The sequence below is a fragment of the Homo sapiens genome, chromosome Y, assembly GCF_000001405.40.
Source record: "Homo sapiens chromosome Y, GRCh38.p14 Primary Assembly".
Lineage (NCBI taxonomy): Eukaryota > Metazoa > Chordata > Mammalia > Primates > Hominidae > Homo > Homo sapiens.
This window is the reverse complement of record NC_000024.10, coordinates 18,711,778-18,729,729: the sequence shown is the minus strand read 5'-3', so window position 1 is coordinate 18,729,729 and position 17,952 is coordinate 18,711,778. Positions and strand designations below refer to the sequence as shown.

Sequence of the window (17,952 nt, the reverse complement as noted above, 5' to 3'; positions counted from 1 at the left end):
GGGTTTCATTTTTTAACCCAAAGAGAGTAGTTAGGTTTAAAGAAGCATGCTGGGCCTGTCGGGCTAATACGCATTTCTTAATGTACCTGACGCTGAATACTTCACATGGCTATTTTTAAAACCTGCATTTGCTTTTTGAAGATTAATTTCCTTAGTTTGCAGAGATTACTTTTAATTTGACCTAAGATTTGGTGTGGCTGATTGAAAAAAATTTTATAGGGTGAATACCTAGTTTGTTTAGTGGGGGTGCACCTGACTCGGATGAACACCATGGGCAGGATTTGATTTTATTATAGTTGATTTTTGTGATAATTTCTTTTGGTAAGTGCTTCAGTGATTTGTTTATGCATTTGGTTTTCTTTTTTTTTAACTTTGTTGTTGGTAGGCTGTGTGTAACTTTCATTTTATTTTATGCAACTTTGCTAGATTTTAAATTATTTCAACTATAATTGCTAAACTCTTGTTTGACTTCAAAGTTAGAGGCAGTTTAAACCTGGGGATAATGTTTTTAAACAGTATTTTAACTACTTTTTTGCCTTTTCAGTCCTCATTGGAAAACCTTAACCTATGTTGAAAAGGTGTAAATAAGTGCTAGTATAAAACAATAGCACCTGACATGGGACAGTTTTGTGAAGTTTACAAGTAAGTTTTTACAAGGCATAGCTTTTATTTTTTAGATCCCTGGGGGCTGGGTAGGCCCTTGCCCTGGGTTGTTTTGAGCATAAGTTTGTTTCGGGAATTCAGGGACCCTGAATGGAGGGACTGGCTGGAGCTGCGACAGAAGAACATAAATTGTGAAGATTTCATCGACATTTATCAGTTCCCTAATAGTACTCTTATAATTCCTTACAGCTGTCTTACTTTAGTCTCTTAATCCTGTTTTCTTCGTAAGCTGAGAATGCATGTCACCTCAGGACCACTACTGTATAAATTGATTGTAACATATGTGTTTGAAAACGATGAAATCAGTGCACCTTGAAAACGAACCAAATAACAGCAGTTTTAGAGAACAAGGGAAGACAACCATAAAGACTGACTGCCTGTGGGCTTGGGCAAAAAGAGCCATATTTTTCTTCTTGCAGAGAGCCTATAAATGGACTATAAATGTGCAGGTATGACAGATATCACTAAATTCTTTTACTAGCAAGGAATATTGATAATTGATCCTCTGGGAAAATAATTGCATTCCTGGGGGGAGGTCTATAAATGGCCACTCTGGGAGTGTCTGTCTCATGCGGTTGAGATGAGGACTGAAATACGCCCTGGTCTCCTGCAGCAACCTCAGGCTCACTAGGGTGGGGAAAAACCCCACCCTGGTGAATTTGAGGTCAGACCATTTCTCTGCTCTTAAACCCTGTTTTCTGTTGTTTAAGATGTTTATCAAGACAATAAGTGCACAGCTGAACATAGACCCTCATCAGTAATTCTAATTTTTCCTTTTGCCTTGTAATCTTGCTTTGCCCTTTGCCTTGTGGTCTTTATTGGCCTCAGAAGAATGTGATCTTTGTTCTCCTATTGCTTTTTGAAGAGTGTGATCTTTGGGACCTACTCTCTGTTTGTACACCCGCCTCCCCTTGTGAAGTCCTTAGAAAAACCTGCTGGTTTTGTGGCTCAGGTGGGCATCAGGGTCCTACCTGTATGTGATGTTATCCCCAGTGGGCCAGCTGTAAAATTCCTCTCTTTGTACTCTTTCTCTTTATTTCTCAGGCTGGCCAACACTTAGAAATATAAAAAGAACCTATGTTGAAATATTGGGGGCAGGGTCCCCAGATATAAGTTAAGTTTGTTCACAAACACCTTGAATGATGGCAGTGAGTTCTGGCATGCAGAAGTGGCATTTCAGTAAGTTTTTAGTGCCATTTTTCACATATGAGTTTTTTGTATAATTTGCTTGAAAAATTATTTCCGCAATGGCTAATTTACTGTTATACAACTTTTATCAATTTTTGTTAATATATTTTCTAGTTTTTTTGATAAACGAGGCCCTCTCATTTGGAGTGTAACTTGGGATATTTTGGAGTGGAGGTTCTGGGATGAGAGGCATATTTAAGGTTCTTTTAAAAATTATGGCATAATTATTTCTTCCTGTTTTGCCTTCCTGTTAACTTTCCTATTTCCTTTGGCTTTTGATGTCCCTGCATTTTGGTGCCCCCAATAATGCATTATTACTACTTTTTCTGGAGCCTATACAGCTGTTAAGAGCTGTAGAATTTTTTCTTAGTACTTTATTTTTTTGCCTCCAGCTGTTAAGAGATTTTCTTTTTATACACATTTCTATGAACATGTAGTGTTGTAAAAGTATATTTAGAGTCTGTATAAATATTCAGCTTTTTGTCTTTTGGTAGCAAAAGGGCACTTGGTAGGGCTATTGATTTTGCCTTTTGGGCTCATGTTCCAGTAGGCAGAGATTGAGCTTCTACCATTGAGTTTAATGTTACCACTGCATACCCTGCTTGTTGGATATTTTTCTAGCTGAAAACTACTTTAATTTATGAAGTATTAAACATCTGAGTTTTTGAGGGGTTGATCTGTAAGGTCTCCTTTTCCAGAAAATATTTCATCCACTTTTTAGACACAGTTATGGAGGGGAGCTTCAGGTTCAACTAGGAGCAGCGTGGTTGGGCTTAAGGGGTTTACTGCTTTTTAAGTAATGTAAGGGTTTTCGTACAGAAGCCCTTGGTACTGCATTATTCTCAGAATTGATAACCAGTGGGACCTTCTTTGGCTCATTGATGTTTCGACTGAGTGTGGCACCTGGACGGTTAGCTGCTGTCTCAAATTAAGTTTGTTAGCCTCTTGTGTTAGCAAGGCAGTGGTGGCTAATGCCTTAAGGCAAGGAGGCCATCCTAGTGCCACAGAGTCTAATTGTTTAGTTAAGTATGCCGCTGGACAATGCTATAATTTTATAATTTGGGTTAAGAACACTGAAGCCATTTCTTTTCACTTATGGATGTATAGAAAGAAAGGCTTAGTTATGTTTGGCAGTCCAAACGCTGGGGCCTGAGTTAAGGCTTTTTTTTTTTTTTTAATTTGTTTAAATGCTTTTTGCTGTATGATCCTTTTCCAGAGGAGGGTTTCTTTATTTTCCCCCTTCATAATTTTATATGATGGCTTAGCCATCAGTGAGAAATTTGGGATTTAGATATGGTGGAATTTTTCTGCTTCTAAGAATTTGTTTTCTTTAATGCCTAGTGGTTGGGGTTGGGAGTGTACAAATGGCCTGCTTCCACTTATGGCCAAGGTGGCATTCCACGTGGCTTACAATGAAACCTATATATTTGAAATTTTTATGAAAAATTGGGCCATTTGTTGAGATAATTTGTAACCTGTTTTTCATAGGAGATAGAGGAGGTCTTGGGTTTCTTGATAACAGCCCTCCTGGATTGGTGCTACTAAAGAAAGATCATCTACATACTGCAACAAGGCACAGTTATCCTTTGGCAGGTTGTAGGCTTTAAGGTCAGTGCTTCCCTAAAGATTGGGGGTGAGTCTTTGAACTTGTGAGAGCCTGGTCCAGGTGAGTTGCATAGCTTTTTTGTTTGATTGAAAGGCAAATATAGGTTGATTAACTTGGGCTAAGCAGATATAACAGAAAACATTCTTTAAGTTTAGGACTGTAAATCAGGTAGCAATGCTGGAATGAGATTTATTAAAATACATGCATTTGGTACCACTGGATGGATGGTCACTGTGGCCCGGTTTGTGGCACACAGGTCGTACACTGGTCTATACTTATTAGACCCTGGTCCTGACAATGGTTTTCATATTGGCCAAAGTGGAGTGTTCTAGGGCAATTGACATCAAACAAAGATTTCATGTTGGTAAAGTGGGTTTAAATGTTTACAGACACCTTGAATAGCCTCTCGGGGGACTGGGTACTGTCAAACATAAGTCAGAGTTTCTTTTGGTTTTAACAGGACTACCACCTGTGCATGATTTACAGCTAACCCAGGTGGGGTGTCTTTAGCCCATACTCCAGGAGTGGTATTAAGTAACTGAGAGAATGGTTTTTTCATTGCACCTGCATGTCTAATCTGCTGCTTGCACTTGCTTTGTATAAAGTTTCCATTTCTTAGCCTGCAGGATGATAAATGTTAACACCAGGGTTTTTGGGTGAGTCAGATTTAACGTTATACTTTTTGCACATGAAAAGCAATTTGTGCTTGCAGTTTTTGGAGTAAATTTTTTTCTTAGCAAAGGAACTGGACAATTCAGGAGGTATAGGAATTCATGTTGGATTTCTTGGCCTTTTATAACACACCTCCTTGACTGACAGAACAGCTTTTTCTCTGTGACTCCCATGGCTTTTATAATAATTTTATTGCTTTTGGATAACGGCCCTATGGGTTGAGTGACTATTGAATGTGTACCCCTGGTGATTACCATAAAGTCCGTCAGCTGGCCTTCAACTTTTAATGTAACCATGGGCTCGTGGAAGTGTAGTAAGAAGGAGCCTGGTCTCTCCTAGTTGCTATATCCTTTAGTGCAAGCCAGCCTATTTAGATTAGTATTTGGTTTTACCACATTGAGGCAGCCTTTAGCTGGTGACTTTTTTATACAACAGTCCTTATTATATTTTTTACTCCCTTCTGGACATTTATTCTTTCAATATTTTTCTTTCCCATCGCACATATTGTTCTCTCTTTAGCCTCAACTGGCTTTTTGGACTAACTTGACCTCTTTCACATGCACATGCAAGTCCATGTCCTTGTATATACCTGGTCACTTTTTTTTTTTTTTTTTTTTTTTTTTAATGAAAGTGCTGCTAAGAGATTGGCCTCTCTTTTTTAGCCTGTGATTTACATTTTTTTTTTTTTTTTTTTTTTTTTTTTTTTTACTTCCTGGTAATAGTTAACATATATTTTGACAGCCATTCCTATAAACTGGGATGTATTCATGCCTGCAAAACCCTGTAGCATTTGCAGCTTTTGCTGGATGTCACCCTTGGCCTGTCTTATAAATGCTGTGTTTACCATGTGCTAATTTTCAGTAGCCTCAGTGTCAAATGGGGTTTAAAACCAGATTGTTTTACAAAGCTGTTTAAATAAAACTGGCTTGGTTTTTTATCTTTCTGAAGCATTTTGAATTTTTTTATATTAATTTCTTTTTTTTCCACAAGCTTTTGTCTCTGGCAAATGTGCCTCCCAGTACCTCTGCAGGCACTGATGCTGGCTTGCGTTATCTGGGTCTTAGTTGAGGCCTGCTTCTGGAAACTGATCCTGAGTATATGCCTGAGCATTTTCTGTGTTTGCTCATGCATTGGCTTCTAGCCAATGAAGGGCTGCCTGAGTTATCCCCTGGCATTCCTTTGTATTAAACAACATTAAGAGAAGTTGCCTGCAATTTAGCCAGGTTGGATTGTGTGATAGAAAGATGGACTGCAATAGGTTTATGAGAGCTTTGGGCTTTTCCCTGTAGGAGGGAGTGTGATGGTTTAAATTTAGTAGATTGGTGGTTGAAAAGGGCTGAGAGAGGAAGGCTTCTTGCCCCCCACAACCTGGATGTGGCGCTGGTCATTATAGTAGATGAGTCCTCATATTTCCCTGAGAGGCAGTTGCATAGCTTGAGGATGACCAGATTTGAGACAGCCTGGTTGACTATTGTGACTTCCTTCCCTGGCCTCTCAAGTCTCCGATTCTTCTCTCTGTGGTGAAACTTGGGGAATGCTGGCAATGGAACCAGGCTCCTGGGGGACTGTTGGCTTCAGCAAAGGGAGGTAGGCTGTGATATATGCAGGAGAAATTTATTTTCCTCTTCTGGCTTTTGTAAAACTGGTTTTTCTTGCTGTCCTGAGGACTTTTCCTTTAACTGAGTGTTTGCTGATGAAGCTGCTTTTATTTCACTTTTGGTTCAGCTAGCGCTATAAGTGTTTATCAGTAGGCAGCTAAACAGGGCTCGGTACATGCTGTTCCTGTTTGTATTATATGTAATTATGAGTAAATATAAGAAAATTGGCCTGGGTGCCCTGGCTGTCCTTGGACCCCTGTCATTACCTCAAACTCATTTCCAGTTGTTTCTCTGGGTAGTCTTTTTGGGTCATCTATTTAACGCCAAAAGAGGGCTATTTTAGGTTACAGAAAGTTTTTCACTTTTGGGGGGTTAGCTTAATTTTATAGTTCCCCGTAAAACCTTTCTCATTTTTTTTTTTTAGCATATATTTGAATGGTATATGTTTTGATGACTCTCTTCCCATTTTCTCCCAGTTATGATGCAGTACACTCGTGCTCACTTTTTACTTTTGTTTTGCACCAGCTAGACCTAGTCCTATTATGGGGGTTTTTAGATATCACTTAGATTTGGAGAGTTTCTTAAGCCCACCACAAGTGCTGTAGTTGTGAGGTAGCTTCCGTTAGCCATATGCGGATCACAACTAGTCTTAGTCAGCCACACATTTGGCTTGGAGTACAGTCTTCACTAAGAGACTTGTGGTTCCTCACTTCGTGGCTGATGAGCCTAGTTAGGCCTCTCCATTCACACACTTCCCCACACCATCCTGCTACCAGTTCCCATGTTCCCAGTTGGGGTGGTGAGCCACTTTCCCTACGTCCAGTTTCCTTCTGAGCTGACTTAGCAGGCTACTCTCACATGCTCTGTTGGTTGGGTTGTAAGTTTCTTCTGAATTAGTGAGACACTCTCGTTGTCTGCAGCCCTTCTTGGTCGGATTACCAGTTATGCCCTAGGAGGTGATTAGGCTCCTTTTCTGTCCTTATGGGACAGGTCATCCCTTGGGTCCCAATACCTTACTGTGGTTTCTGAAGTGAGCTGTTCCTGCAATCATCCTGTAGCCCATTAGATACCATTGCATTGCTGGGTAGGGGCACTGGGTCACAAATGGGCTGATCTCCCAACCAGGCTGAATTTCTCCCGATGGTGCTGCTGGGTCTCAGGACTCCTGAGACCCAGGGCTTAAGCTCCTAGAGGCAAAGGAGACAGTAAACCTGTCATCTCCTCTCCTAGCTGGCTGGTCAATAATGTTGCAAGAAGCAGAGGACCAAAGAGACCTATATGGGGAAAAAGGAAGATTTAATTAGGTGCCCTGGCTCAGTGGACTGATATCCCAAAAGGCTGATCATTGAACAAAGACTGAGTGGGGTATTTATAAGCAAAATTACAAAAGCAGAAGTAAAGAAGCCACTTAAACAATGATAGGTTACATAATTTATAGCATAAGATTTGACTTACCGTAACTTGTAGCCTTGCATAGCTTGTGGCCTTGCAGCTGTTAAAAAACTAACAAAAAAACAAAAAACAAAAAAAGGAAAAACAAAAAAGAGTAACTTTTAATTGTACTAAATACAAGCATTCGGAAACATAGTCAAAATTAATGGTCCAGAGAAGGAGAGAGAGCATTGGTATCCATTTTTCTTTTCAACTTTGCTCTGGAGTTGGCTGTTTGCAACCCATTCCTTTGGCCTTCTCTTTTGAAACAGTGTTATCTTATAACTCTTTTGAAACAGTGTTGTCTTATAACCTTCCTTGGAATCAGCTGGCTAAGCAGAAGACATTTTTTTTTTCCTTTTCTATTTAACCCTCGTCTTGCCACACTGGCACTTTTGGAAGAGAAACATATTCAACATGCAGACACTGAAGCTCCAGCCTGCAAGTATACAGTCAGTTCTCTGTGCTGTAGGGCTCAGGTATGGTTAGAAGTCTTCTCATGACTCAAATCACAGCCTGGGTAACCCACTGGTCTAGTTCCTAAAAACATTCACTTCTATTGTTTCAATAATCATGCTCCAGATCCCACTGCCACGTTTGAATTTATTGCAATGATATGGAAGTGAGAACCTTACCCAGCCCAGGCACTGTGGCTCATACCTGTAATCTCAGCATTTTAGGAGGCAGAGGTGGGCAGATTAACTGAGGTCAGGAGTTTGAGACAAGCCTGGACAACACAGTGAAGCCCCATTTCAACTAAATATACCAAAATTCACTGAGTGTGGTGGCCCACACCAGTAATCCAGACTACTTGGGAGGCTGAGGCAGGGGAAACACTTGAACTTGAGAGGCAGAGGTTTCAGGGAGTGAAGGTCATTCCACTGCATTCCAGCCTGGGTGACAGAGTGAGACTCTGCCCTCACTCACCAAAAAACAAAAACAAAAAACTTATCTGCTTATATTTCAATGCCAAAATATTTTTAAATGACTGTTTCTTGATGTGTATAATTGTTCCAACTTCCAACTGGAGAAATAACCTCCATTTGTTTACTTTCACAGATTGTGTACATTTGTGTTTGATCTTAATGAGCTGAGTCTATTCACAGAACTATGAAGATGCTTATTAATACCGTATTGTATGTTCTATATGTCCAGTTTAGCAAATATGCCTTACCCACTTATTTGCTAAAAAAATCCTTTTTTTCTCCTCATAATTTAGATGATTCTCAAAGATGACACATCATTTTGCAATCTGATTCTAACTTCTATACTGCCAAATGGTCTGCAAAATTAATCTAAAAAAAAAAAAAAACGAACAAAATAAGTGAAGGCTGACAGAGTAAGTAACGTGATTCAGCTGAAGCTAGTCAATCAGGCAGTTGTGCTTACCACAACTTCTGGTCTGTAGGGATGGAGAGGTTGTGCCTTGATTCAGTGAGTGATTGCTGGGGCATTCTGTCAGAACAAGGCCTGGGGGAAGCACCATGTGATCTGCCCAGGCCTAAGGTTCAGAAGGAACCAAGGCAAGAATATTACCAATTGCATGAAGATACCAGCAGGTTTCTAAAGAGCTCTATTAGTTTGAAAATAAATTGTTATCCTTGCAGATAGCAAATAACGATGCATAAGATCCACAAAACTAATGATTCAAGCACCTAAGTTAATTGCAGTGGCAATAATAAAATGCGTGAAAGCAACAGGTAGCAAAGGAAAGGCAATTATTACTATTGAAACACCTCTGTGTGTTAAGAAAACACTGTATGTAGCCAGTCTATCCCGCTGACCCTCACAGCAACAATGTATCATGGGTAGGGGGAGGGGAGGGTAGCTATTCGTCTCCAGAGCAGCACACAAGGCTTTGTCCAGGTGGCTAAACTTCCAGATACATTTCTCTTTTAAGGTTTCTTTTTGCTTTTGGAAACGGTGTGGATTAGCGTTGTCTGGAGGAAGTGTGCCTGTGTAGCCTGGAGGCTGCACTACCTGTGAGTGCTTCCAAGGTGCCATTCCTTTATTCGTTAAGTGTTTGCACTTGAGGTTGCTCAGAGACAACTCTGTCCTCTGCAAATATATGTCTTTCTGGAGAACTGGAAGTAATGTTTTTGAAAGCTTTCAGCAAGTGCAGAGATGGTGAGCTCTTTGCTGGTAGTGGGCTTTTGGCAGTCATGTTAATGACTCTCTGATGGCAACTTCTGAAAGGCTCTTCCAAGTGTCTGGCCTCTTGCTTAAGCTCTTTGACTCTTGCTTAAGCTCTTTGACCCTTGCTTAGTATTAACTACAAACTCAAGGTCAGAACTGGAAGGACTACCTTCTACACCTCCATTTGGATAATTTGGGATCCTTGATGTAACCATACCTGCTAGAACTCTTTTCTGTCTAAAAGAATTGTTCAAGAAAGCCTGATGTATAACATCATTGCAGGGTACCATATTGCCACTTATTAATCCACTGACAGAATGATTGTTCAGAGACTGTTTTGGATTGGAGTATACTTTATTCTCTACGTCTGCAGAGTACAAAAAGGTAATTTCAGATGTCAGTGGACAAGGAAGAAAAGAAAATTCATATACTTGAGAATATCATTTTTTTTTTTTTTTTGAAAAATTGAAGAGAGCAATAATAAGGACAAACTTGCACATTAAACAGTTTCTGAAGCCATGGTAGTAACAACGACTAACACTTATTGAGGGCTTATTGTACCAACTACAGCTTCATATGTCTTTTGTAACCTGGTATAATTTCAGAATCCATTATGAACAATTGGCACATCACAAAAGCTCTGAAAACCAAAAATGTATTCATAACTCATGTGGTGGCAAAGCGTAGCCAGACTTGAACTCATTTGGTTGAAAAGTTTGACCTGGCCGGGCGTGATGGCTCATGCCTGTAATCCCAGCACTTTGGGAGGCCAAGGTGGATGGATCGCAAGGTCAGGAGGTCGAGACCATCCTGGCAAACACAGTGAAACCCTGTCTTCTACTAAAAATACAAAACATTAACCAGGCATGGTGGCAGGCACTTGTGGTCCCAGCTTCTTGGGAGGCTGAGGCAGGAGAATGGCATGAACCCAGGAGGCAGAGCTTTCAGTGAGCCAAGATAGCACCGTTGCACTCCAGCCTGGGTGAAAGAATGAGACTCCATCTCAAAAATCAAAAAAATAAAACAAAATGAAAAGTTTGACCTGAACTGATGTGAACCCATTTAGTATCCTTATTTATCCCAGCATGAATATTCATACAGTTGACTGGAAAATAATTAATGCATTTCACTACAGCAGGCGCTTCAGAACTTGCATGCTGTGGATTTCCTATGCTATGAAATCCACAGCATATGGAATGAGTTTCAGGCAAGGAGGTAAGAATCTGCCTCCACAACAACACTGTGTTCAGGGAACTCTCACAGCTCCCATTTCATAGATGGGATCTAAAGTTTACTGAGGCTGAGTTACACATTTAGCAGGTCCAATAGCTACTGGACTTCCCTAAGGCAAAGCCAGTACATGCATCTCACTCTCCTGCAATGCCTTCCTACGATGCTATTAGAAAGAAGCCTGCCCTCAGCAGTGCACATGCATGCAAACGTTGTATTCTCATTCAACTGCTTTTAACATGAGACTGTGGTTTCAGCTGTGAGAAGTTTCACAGACAGAACTGACAAAAAAATGAAGTACAGAAATGAGTAGAAATGAGTAAAGAGTTAAGAATCAGTCAAGCTCTTGCAGAAGAGAGCAAGGGACTTATGAGGAAAGATTGCAAATAGGAACAAGGAAGGCTCAGAATAAGTGTGAGAATACAGTTGAACTGGTAACACATACACACTTTCTTTGAGCTTGAAAGCAACTGAAGAAGAAAGCATCTAAGCTTCAACATCCTTCTTATGAAGTAGGAAGTGGCAGAGATGTATCCCCAGTGAAGACACAATAATAAAATCATAGCAAATCACCATTTATTGAGTATTTTCTTATGTCCCAGACACTGCATTGAAACCCACCTCATGTCATCATTTTCATTATGGCTCAATAGGCATAAATTTCCCCTTGCAAATGAGGAAACAGAGGCCCAAGGAAGTTAAGTTAACATGTCCAAGATCAAACAACTAACTTCAAAACTGGGGTCCAAAAGAAGAACAGTTCTCTGATTCTGAGGGCAACGTTCTCTTTGCTAAATAACCCTTCTCCTCCTATGAGTGCACATCTGTCTATGAAGGAATCTGTAAAACTACTGAACTGGTGTTAACATTGGGGTAACAAACAGAAAACAAAATTCTAAGATAAACTTGGAGACTTCTATATCACCACCACAGCTTTCCCATTAGGGACATGACGTTCTCCTGAGCCATGAGGCACCTATGAAACAAGTCACTTTTGTTGATGGTCCAGATGGTATTACCAAACTGGATAGGGAGTTTTACTTCTAAGATGACACATATTTCTGTGGCTTTTCCTCTAACAAAATAATTACTTAATGTTCAATAAATTGGGATCATTACATTTTCACAAGCATCAGAAGCTTTACAGAAAGAAAACATATTCATGGGTTTAAAATGTCTCTAACCCGTCTGAGTTTGCTTCAGTTGCAATTTTAAATCAGCCACATGAATAGTTAACTTTGTCATGGAAGCTTCGTAATCTAGTATCTGGGCCTTCAGCCAGGCAGAATGCACAATATGACAAGATTCAGAGTAGGAAAATAAATTATTTTAAAACAAATCACAGCTTGCTTCAAAAGGAAAAGTTTTCTCATCCTTTTGTAATCTTTATTTGGGAAGATTTATGCCAGTAAACAACAGGGTCCCTATTTTTAAAATGACAAACAGAACACAAATGAGGCGTGTTTCACAGGTTTCATCATCATTTTCGGTCATATCAAAAAATTCTAGAGCATGTGGACAGAAGACACAGTGAATGTTTGAAATCCTCAGGGTGAGAATCAAGGGAAAACAGTGGATACAATCAGGCACTCTGAAAATTTTACGTTTAGGTGTGTTTGCTTTCTTCTCCATGTTATTACTATTATGAATATAAGATCATATTATCACTAGAGAATTTTCTGAGATGACAAACAGTACCTTTGTTATATTTGGGGGAGTAATGTTTGATGTAAAAATAAATCTGATTTGCACAGGTGTGACTTGGGCCAAGTTTACATATTGATGAAGTGTACTGGTATCATAGTGGGACCGGCAAGGAGCAATACTCACTGCATGTTGCAGTTGTATTGCAGAGCTGGCCTGTGGTTCTTGAACTCCTCATGCTCAGCTATGATAGCATTTTCTGCTTTCTGCAGTTCTTTCTGAAATACCACAATTTCATGAGCCAGCTGATCTAGACCTAAGAAGTTCAAAAGAAATCCTAGTCATTATCTACCTTAAGTTTTCTTATTTCATTTAACAAAAACATTTAAAGGGGTTTTACATTGTTGTTTCTTTTCTTTGTACTCATGCAATAAATATAATATTAATTCTATTTAATGAGCTCAGCGTAATCCTGACACCCACATTTCAGAACAAAAGAATTTGGTGCATTTTAATGTAAACGTGATTACTCTTGGAGTCCTACTCCATGTAAAAGACCCTTTTCAAATCCTCAAATTAACCTAAAAGGTTGTTTCTCTCCTCTACCATGCACAGAAGGAGCTCTCTATCTGATCTCCCTGTTGATGACATCCCCAAGATTCAACATAATCTGTGCATCTGTCAGCAGCAGTTGGGATCCAGGCAGAAAGCAGATGGTTCCCACAGTCAAAGTCATCTAAGGATGCTTTAATAAAGGGTGACTTTTGCAGCATGCCCACAAATGATGGCAAAGCTCACTGAGATAGTAACAGGGCCACTGTATTAGCACTCCTTGTGCCTGGAGAATCAGAGGAGGGTGCAATTCTCAGCGCTGGAGGGAGAGAGGTGGTGCAGAACACTGGGAAGAGGTCATCACAGGCACCATGACCTCGCTTGGCTGTGAGGTACAATGGCCAGTCTTCGGCCAGTGTATGTGGAGTCTGTAGTCCTCACCGGCCAAACCCAATCAGCAAGCAGAGGGCAAGGGATACCTTGAAACCACCTACAGGCATGTTTGCAGAGTTTAATCCAAGGATCATAAATCCTTCAAATTTAACTTTCCCCTTACAAGTACAAAGCATAGTTTTATAATACTGCCTGAATATAAATTACTAAAACATGGAAATCAGGAAGAAAGATATATGGTTTAGGACATGCAAGTTTTCATTTCTACTCTCTTTTAAGTAGTGAATAATTACTCATCCTTTTAGCCTTTTCATTCAGCATAAGGTTTTGTTTTGTTATTGGCAAGACTGGGTTTTGACACACTCTAACTCAACCTGGAATTTAAAAAGGAATATTTACAATTGAATAATGACTTTACAGTGCTGCAAAATGAAAATCTGGTATGCTCCTTTAGGCATAGCGTCAAAATTTAATTAAGGTCACTAAAGAGATGTCTGAATGTCTGCAATAACTACGCTAACAAAAATTATCTTCTGCCCCAGAGTTGACACAGAGGAAACTTATAGAACATATCCCATGAATCAAGTCCTTCTAAGATTATCACCCCATTTTTCAGAGTCAACCAAGAAACCAGCAACAATCACACATTATAGCAATATATATTTTTTGAATATGAAAAGGTAAGGTAAAAATGGCCAGGCATGGTGGTCAACACCTGTAATCCAAGTGATTTCAGAGTCTGAGGTGGGAGAATTGGCTGAGCTCAGCAGTTTGAGATGAGCCTGGGCAACATGGCAAAGCCCCATCTCTACTGAAAAGATAGCCATGCCTGGTGGCTCGTGCCTGTAAATCCTGCACTTTGAGAGGCTGAGGCATGCAAATCACTTGAGGTCAGAAATTCGAGGGCATCTTGGACAACAACATGGTGAAATTCCATCTCTACTAAAAATACAAAAATTACCTGGGCATGGCCTCAGGCACCTGTGATCTCAGCTACTTGAGAGGCTGAATCAGGAGAATCACTTGAAACCAAAAGGCAGAGTTTGCAGTGAGCTGAGACCATGCCATTACACTCCAGCCTAGGTGACACAATGAAACTTCATCTCCAGGCAGGGTTGGGGGGAGTACAAAAATTACCTGGCGTCGTGACACACGACTGTAATCCAAGCTACTTGGGAGAATGAGACACAAGAATCGCTTGAAGCCAGGATGTGGAGGTTTCAGTGAGCTGAGATCATGCCAGTACACTCTAGCCTGGGTGACAGAATAACACTACCTTGTAAGAGAGAAAATAAAATAAAATCTGAACATGTGAAGTGCCTCCATTTTCTTAATATACTATAGCTCATATTTGAGTATGAAAGTCTACAAAGTTCTCACATATGTCAAAGTTGCAAAAATAAATTTTATATACAAAATATTTTGTAAGTACCTGATGTTCTAACTTCCAACAGCAAGCACACGATGAAGACAAAAGTAAAGAAGCAATGGCATGTGAAAAATGCCCCGTATTTTGTTTTAATCTGTAAGACAAAAATGTAATGACAGAATTTTTTCCTGTTGCTGATGGAAAGAGTGAACAGGCTGCGTGTAGAAAATAATAGTGTTGACCACCTGCTATGACCTAGGCATGTCAATTAGCTCACTACATTTCCTCAACAGCCCTAAAATTTGGAAAACTTCCTAGAGTTTACAGCTCAAGAATCTGAGTCACAGAATCTGCCCAAAAGCACACAAGCAACTAGACACACAAATAGGTTTGAAGCAGGACTTCAGGACCCAAGGCACTATCTGCATTTTTCTGTGTGACATTGATTGAAAATAAATATTACTTAATTTACTCCAGCCATCATCCTCTTAGCCATACAAATAGAAATCCAAGCGTCTCTAGCAGATGACCTAGGATAAATTATTTATCACTAAAATTTCATATATTGGTTAAATCTGTTTCAAAAAACAATAATTATTTCTTCCTTTCACCTTCAATTAGTCGATTAGTACTAATGATATAGTCATCCTTTAGCTCAAGTTGTCACCTGAGAATCCGAATGAGTTTCTCAGTTATCATTCTAGAAAGCCCACTATCAATGCAGGAGCTTATGCGTGGCACAGGTATATCTGAGAGCACTTAACCTGACACTGTGTAAACTTCAAAGTCCCTCATTACTAAAGCCATAGATAAAATGTCCACTAAAACCCCACCTCAATCCTATAAGACTCAAACACACAAAATAAAGGGTCGTGTTGTCACAAGGTTACTGAAGTAATCACTTTTCAGTTGGTCTCATCTGACACAAAAAGCAAAGAAAATTAAATTTACACGGCATACAATAGACTCAATTGTAAATGATAATTAGACAAACACTTCCAGTCCTCCTGTAATATCTGCACACCCTCAACCAATGTATGAATTTTTGTGCCAAGGGACTAAGAACAGTCCTGAGAGGCAAGTGTCAACAGCATCAAATCTGAATTAGCAACACCCAAAGACACACTTTTGCAGTTTCACTTCTCTTTCCCAGCTGTTACAATCTGCCCTTTTGGTTCCAAAAGGAAAAAGAAACATTCTTATGGGGATCAGCCTCCAAACTCTAACACTTGCCAAAATCATATGCAGATTCCTAAAGCCAGACAGACACCACACAGCCCGTGGAAGCTGTCACAATGCTACCAAATAGTTGACTAGCTCCATAACTACATAAAATTAACGCACATACTTTGGTTTATTTATTTCTAAATATGTGGTAACTACAGCAACTTCCACGTTATTTGTTCTAGCAGAGGAATTGACATAGAAGATGTGGGTAAAACGCCTCATTTAAAAATCGATTTTAAAAGCTGCTATATTTTTTAAAAATAGAATTTGTTTAAATAACAACCTCAAGAAACTTTTGCACCTACTATGTAATAAAATATCAATGTCAAATCATGAGGAAGGCAATAAAAACAGGCCAAATAAATGCCCCCAAAACCTTTGTTGCATCATTTCCTCGTGGCACATTTACAACAAATATTAACTGGGCACATTTTATGTGCCAGATCCTTTTCCACCCACTGAAACGTTACCACATGGGCACAATGTCTTACCCCTGTGATATTATCCACTGATACACAAAACTTAGTGCACAGAAAAGCCAAAGAATCTGTAACTGCTGTTATTCTCCTTTCCCTTTATCACATTTGCCTCACATAGTTAATTTTAGCCCTTTTATTTTCATTCCTGCTTTGCAGAATTGTGAAGGAATTAAAGGCACATGTTCACTGAAAAATACTGTGACCATTGATATAATTTCTATATTGTTAGATATCCATCTTTGTGGCAGTATGAGTGGAGTAGACAAAAAAAAAAGTCACTAAAAGTGATTATAAACCCAGTTTTACAGCTTATCGAGTAGGCAAGCTGAGCAAGTAACAAGGTACCCTGAAAATTATAGTAAATCACAGACCTCAATAAATGTTAGAGAAGCCATGAGTAAGAAAAGCAGAGGATTTGCTTCTTTGCACCTTATCTTTTAAAAGGTACCTTATCTCAAACACAGGTAATTATTGGGTATTGATGAAAATAAAATATGTATTTTTTTCAAACACTAAAGTTTGCATAGAATGTGATTCATAGACTACTTCCTCAGTTTTTGTTATGTTTACACTAACTTATTTTAAACATATTTCTTCTTCAAAACAGTCAAACATGTACTTCAGCAGTTTGGTCATAGGTCTCCTCAAGACTCCTTATATTCGCTCCTGCCTTCTAAGTGCCTCAGTCATGGTGTTATGTTTTTCTTCCTGGGGCTTCTGGGTTCTGAATATAGGAAAGGTATAAAAACTAAATAAGCTACAATAGCTGAGATAACAAATTTAGAAAAAAAATCCAGTGTTTTTGATTCAACAGACTAAAACTGCTACATGACTATTCCTGCTGGGAAGCAGAAGAAAGAGCTAGAAGTCCTCAGTGTATGAACTAATCTACTTACAGTGTATTGAAACTAGCAGAGCCACAGAGCTGTGGTATCTGACGGAGGGGAGTGTGATCTTCTCTAGTGGGAAGTGATTTCCTATAGAAGACAATTAAAACTTAAAACAATAGTTGTAGGTGAGTGATGGCCAAAATCAATTGTGGGATGAAAGAATAATCCTATTAGTTACAAAGGGACAAAAGTGGATTCACCTGCTTGATTTCTTATAATGTTCTTTCTAACTGTGGGCTTTAATTAATTATCGCATAGATATTTCAGTGAGAATATTTACTTTTGTCATTTAATAATCTATCAGAGGTAGCCAAGTGTGGTGGCCAGCACCTAAAATCCCAGCTTTTCAGAAGGCTGAGGCAGGAGGGTCACTTGAGCCCAAGAATTTGAGACTAACCTGGACAACATAGCAAAGCCCTGTCTCTTAAAATCAAACAAACAAACAACAAAAACCTAGAAAACAAAAACTGTTGATTAAACGTGGGAAAAGTACCCAAAGAGAGGGCAAAAGATAGATGAATCAATATGGGCTTCCAAATACTTAAGAGTAGAACGGTCTTTATAGCGAGACATGAGATTAACCATAGCACCAATTCCCAAGCCAGGGAGGTGGGTTCACAGTGGTTGAGATGCAGCCATTCTGAGAAGTCCTACAAAACACTGACTGGTCTAAGGAAAGTTAAAGGCTCTAGGTATTAGCTCCCTCTGCTGGTAATCTGGAAAGCTGTGGAAAGGTAAAAACGACATTTATTTTGTATATATCCTGAGAGAGAGAAAACAGGAGTGGAGAAAATTGAGGTAGGGAAGTGATAAACTCTCTCTGCCAAAATGTTGTTCCTTATTTTTCTCTCTCTCTCTCTCGATTAGTTTACCT

At 39.4% G+C, this 17,952-nt stretch overlaps 1 pseudogene; it reads right to left on the bottom strand.

Annotated features, from left to right (window-relative positions):
• Positions 1–17,952, bottom strand: part of OFD1P6Y (OFD1 pseudogene 6 Y-linked) — a 64,714-nt pseudogene that overhangs the window by 8,711 nt on the left and 38,051 nt on the right.